Source organism: Homo sapiens, chromosome 10 (assembly GCF_000001405.40).
Source record: "Homo sapiens chromosome 10, GRCh38.p14 Primary Assembly".
NCBI lineage: Eukaryota > Metazoa > Chordata > Mammalia > Primates > Hominidae > Homo > Homo sapiens.
The window spans coordinates 108,321,670-108,327,164 of NC_000010.11; the positions used below are offsets into that span (position 1 = coordinate 108,321,670).

Below are 5,495 nucleotides of genomic sequence, written 5' to 3' on the forward strand. Positions count from 1 at the left end.
TAATAACAAATACACTCTTTTGGTACCAAGAAATAGCTGTTAATTTATCAACTCTGCATTATTTATTATGCTTAATACCAGTGCCATGGACCTTCATACCTGGAATTTAGTAAAACAATGGAAAAAAGGTATGGATTCAAATCTGGGAAATGCATTATGTGCTCAGGGCTAAGAAATAGTAGGATATGCTATTCTAAACTTACACATAGGACACAATGATCTGTTAGCAGGTAAACCAATTAATCACCAGATTGCCTCATTTTTACTGATTTTTATTCCTATCACTCCAACCTCTTCATGAGCATCATCTTCTATTATTCTTGCATACTTTATGTCAATCCATTTTTTCACCTTTATTCTAACTTCACATTTATCTTTCAGTTAGTGTAGAAACTAGATTTGTACTTGTATTAGGTTCCAGACACTCTTGGAGATTTTCAAACACGGAGAGCCTGAAAATTTACTTCAAAGATCTCACAACATGGTGGTAGAACTGGACACAACACGTGCACATTAAACAATTGATGGATAATTTACAAAGCAACTGTCAACAAAACAAAATAAGGCACTTGAATACATAAGTATGCCAATTAATTGTGACTTTGTGCTATTCTTGTTACATTGTTCCATCATCATGTTATTCCATTCAGAGCATAACGTTTTCAAGTAGTGGGGATAATGATATCTTGCAGAGACACATGTGGCTTATCTCAATAATAATTATGTCATTGTTTCTTTTATTCGTACAGTAAATGATTATTAAAACAAATCCTTAATGAGTTGAAACTCATAGTAATTCATCTCCAGTTTCATCTCACGCAGAGCTCTAAAGATTCATGAATAGTGATGGGCTAGAGTTTTTACCATGCTTAGTGATTCCTTCGATAGAAGATGTTATTTTAATATAAGATTACTATAATGAACCACCTCCTGAGTATCAACAGACATTCACAGACTCACAGGCACAGGTAATGACGGAAATGTACCATAATGAATATTTTGTATTAGAGTTTAATTACCAAGGCAGGAACTTGGTCTTTGATGATTTTTTAATAGAAGGTAGAATGTTTTTCTAATTTAGCATTTTTCAGTTAAAAAAGCTCATTAACCACAACATTCCATAGTGTAAAAGATCATCCATGTGAGATAAGGGTTAAAGATATGAGAACTACATTTTTAATAAAAGCCATTGTTAGACTGTTACATTTTTCCTTGATGCTGATGTTTCTCTCACACAATAGATGGTGCCTCATGCCAATCTGTCCTAACTGTGCGGTAGAATACTAACCCTTATTGCCTCCCCCAAACATAGGAAGACTTGGCATCACTGTACTTTGTACTAGGGCTGTTTTGGTTGCTGCCAACTTTGAGAGATGAAATTAATCTAAGAAAACTGAAGCTGAGTCTAGTGCCTCAAGGACGTAGAGAATTTATTACTTTGAATACAAATCTCTAGGTCCTTGTGTTACCAGTGGAGGGTCTTGACTAGGAGTTCTCCGGGTCCTTGGCATTTTGAATAAAGGATTGAACAGAACGCACAAAGGCAGAGGAATGAAATGCAGCAATGAAGCAGCGAAAGCAGAGATTTATGAAAATGAGAGAGCACTCTACAGGGTGGGAGTGGGCCCGAGCAAGGGGCTCAAGGGCCGCACTGCAAAGTTTTCTGGGCTTTAAGTACGCCTTGTGAGGCTCTTATCCCCTACTCCTTATCTGGATGAAGGATTTGTCTGTGACTAATTAAACCCTGAGGGGAATTGGCACCCTATGCAGATAAAGGGATGGTCCCTGCTTGGACCATGGCCAATTGAAGGCACTCTCCCTTTCCACCTGAGACATAGTGGAAGGAGGAGGGTTGTAGGGAGAGTAGCCTTTGATCCTTTGTTACTTGGAGTGGGGAGATGGGGGTTTTCCTTCTGCTTTAGCTTTAGGAAGTTTGTGTTAATTGGCTTAAGTTCTCTGCCTCCAGACCCTAATCTCCTGCCTCACTTGAGATTTGACATTATGACCCACAGGAAAGTGATCTAACCCTCTCCACAAGGAAAGTCTCAATGCCCTGGACTATTGGATATCTGTCTGTCTGTCTGTCTGTCTGTCTGTCTATCTATCTATCTATCTATCTATCTATCTCCTGTATCTGATTCTGTGGAAAAAAATGATATTGTATATAGAAAGGAGATGAAGCATGAGTTAGTTACAAGATAAAATAAAGGAAGAGGAGGATGAACAGAAGAATGGAAATAAAGTGGGAGCAAAAGGAGAAAATGCTTAGCAGGAGCAGATGTTAGTTACTAAAGTGTCAGCAAAGTACAGTCAGGGATCTTTGCTGCATGAACTCTGCTTTCATTCATTCTTCAGAAAAAATTTACAGGAAACTCAAGGTATTAGAATTTCATTAAGGATGACTTTCTTTCTATTTCATTTCTTCCTTCATTGATGCTATTAATGTTATCATTAAATTGAAAATAAAATATATTTCCACCCTATTAGACTTGTTTTAATGTTTCCTAGACACAGTCTTTGAATATTTGATGATAAGAAATAAATAAGTGCTATCTGGAGAGATTTTCCTCAAAATGAAGAAAATGGCAGGGGTATATTTATAATTATGAAGACATGCCCAATATAATTTAAATATCCAAGAGAGGTATAATTTTATAATTCTATATGATGAGGAGTTATTAGAAATAATTATCCCTTTAATAATCACTAGTTATTTTATGGAGATGGATTGAGAAATTTATCTGGAGGATTTGCTTTAAAATGGCCAGATTCAAAGCAGCTATAAAATGATTTTTGGAGGCTAGTTGCAATTGGAGCTCATTCAACCAGTCCATTTCCATTATAATGAGATTTGTTTTTAAGTAAGGTGGGGAGGAAAAGGACCTGTTACCATAAGTCACCTGATCCAGCAATTGCCTATTGTTCAATGGTGCATTATTATCTATGGTAAAGCCTAAAGGGTTTTGGTGAGACTGCTTTGAAGTAGATATCTAAGGAGGCACAATGATCTCAGTGTCCCTTCTCTCCACCCAATCTTATATTTAGCTTATTTTCTGCCTACCTACTCATTTTCCATTGAAGAATAAAAAGAAATGTGTTTGTTAAGTGACTAGACAAGGAACAGAATTGACTCATAGATGGTAGTTGAAGGTACACAAAGATTTTTGAGCTTTAACTCAGTTAGCAAATTAGGGATTTTTCCAAAGAGGAGCTGGCAAAATAAAGTACAGCCCGAGGAAACTGGAAAGCAGCTTGTATGGGCTGTTTGAGTCTCAACTATGGAAAAGCACATTTTTCCTTCTACCAAAACCAAAGAAGTATATTTTGGAGATTCCACCATAGCTTCTGAATGTCACATCATTTGGTGCTGAGATTCACTGTCACATATCAAATTACAATTGCTCAACTGACTGCACTGGTAATTAAACCATGGGGGAAGTCAAAATTCTAGAGCACACAACAGGAAGATATCATGGCTTCCACTAAGATTTTTTAAATGCGAGCTATGACCAAGAGGAGTTTTACGACTGTTTTCTCTGCTGTTAATTTCTGCTTTCTCTCAACAGTCTTTTACCCATCCTCTGTGCAAGGTGAGATTGCCATCCACCAGGGCAATGCAGTAGACATATGAGTTAAAAAGAATAAAGTACAAAGAAGAAAGATGAGGACAAAGGCAGAAGGAATCTGCATATGCATTATAAGCATTTTCAATTATTTCCATCATGGGCATGCATTCCTGTTTTGTAATGATTTTCGGAAATTTGAGTGTAAATTCTTTTGATAAAGTTAAATCCTATTTTAACTAGTGTCATAGTTCAATGAAGAGAATGCTTGGAAATCCCGGAAGTCATGTTTAATGGATGTTACTAATAAATATCCAGAAACAACTGAGACAAATTTTCATATTAAGGGAGGGGTAATGTGTAGCAAGAAAATGGAGGAGTTATAGAGGCCATTGAGTTCAACAATAAAATGCAAATAGAATCTCATTTGTCTCCAAACTCCTCGAGGGTAGGAATGTTACAGGTAGTTAGATAGGCATGAGCAGGGTAGGAGAGGGCTCTTCTCCCCCACCCACTGGAAATGTCAGGTGATGGATCAACAATTATCACACTGCCTCTCTAAAAATGATAATTCCGCAGAAGTGCCAGGGTGCCAGGGAAAGAAAATCTCCTGATGTTCCACAGCTGTTAAAATTAAAGTGTTAATTGAGTGCAGATGCCAGGGAGAAGCAACTTCCTGGACATATGTGTTAAGAGACAAAATGGCAAAGTATGATATTCCAGGGACGCTCCACCAGAAAAGGGAAGAAAGCCTCGGGCGTGTGTACAACGTCCTAAACACACTGCGCATGCTCACTTCCTAAGGGTGAGCAGGGCATTGTGCATGCAGGCAGCCCACACTACTAGAAAAATCATAGGAAAAGGGTGCAAGATAGAAGCCTATAAAATCCTAGAATCATGGTTAAACACCACACTTGACATTCAGGTGCTCACTTGGGTCTCTTCCAAGTGAATTTTCCTTTCTTTCCTGTTCTAAAGCCTTTTAAAATAAACTTCCACTCCTGTTCTGAAACTCACCTTGGTCTCTTCTTCTGCCTTATGCCCCTCAGTTGAATCCTTTCTTCTGAGGAGGCAAAAATTGAAGTTGCTGCAGACCTGTATGGATATGCTGCTGGTAACTCTGATACCTTCCACTGGTAACAGGAACAGTTTTATCACTGCATCCCAAACCTATCCCCAAATTTAGCATCGAGAGGGCACCAATAACTGTCTGTCGAATAAAGTAATCACTGCATATCGAATTAATTACACACATTTCTATGTACATTATTCCAAAATATCAGGTATCTTACCTAACTTTAGCGGGTTTTTTAATAGATAATAAAGGCAATAAATATCTCCTCTCAAACGGTATCTTTATTTTCTCCTGCATATACTTACTGGGGTATATATATGAGTACATGAACATAAAGTATAAAAGTTTTAGCTAAACGAGAAAAGAGTAAATGAATTGATAGCCAATGGTTACAAATATTTAACAGATTTATAGCAAATGAATGAGTCAATGAAGACTTGTCCCAAAGGTTCTTGTTTGAGGCTTTGTAATAGGTATGATGATAAATCCTAGCTCAGTTCTACTTCATATTTGCCCTCCTTCTCTCCTTCATTGTGAAGGCCTGGATTGAGGTAGTTCTTAGTCCTCTCTGCTCCTGCTCCCAGAAACCAATAGAACCTTGTATAATACAGCAACATATTCATCAGTTTTTTTTCTTAATCATCTTTGTTCCCAGGAAACAGTCACAAAAAGAAAAGAAAGAAAGAAGAGGAAGAGAAAGGAGAAGAAAACAAATCAGGTTCGAAGTTATTTGTTGATATTTCATATCTAAGAGGGGCAGAGTTTGCATAAAAGCAGTAGGAAAGAATTTGCATATAGATGAAAATAGCTTGTTGAAGTTGTGATGTAGAAGATGCTACTGAGTCACCTAAGAATTC

The 5,495-nt window shown here is 37.3% G+C and overlaps 1 annotated feature.

The window, feature by feature from the left end:
• Nucleotides 1,582-2,110: an enhancer, noted in NCBI's record as "NANOG hESC enhancer chr10:110083009-110083537 (GRCh37/hg19 assembly coordinates)". NCBI's record gives its function as "activates a minimal SCP1, AML or CMV promoter by ChIP-STARR-seq in naive H9 embryonic stem cells {active_cell/tissue: H9 hESC(naive)}" and the evidence as "EXISTENCE:reporter gene assay evidence [ECO:0000049][PMID:30033119]".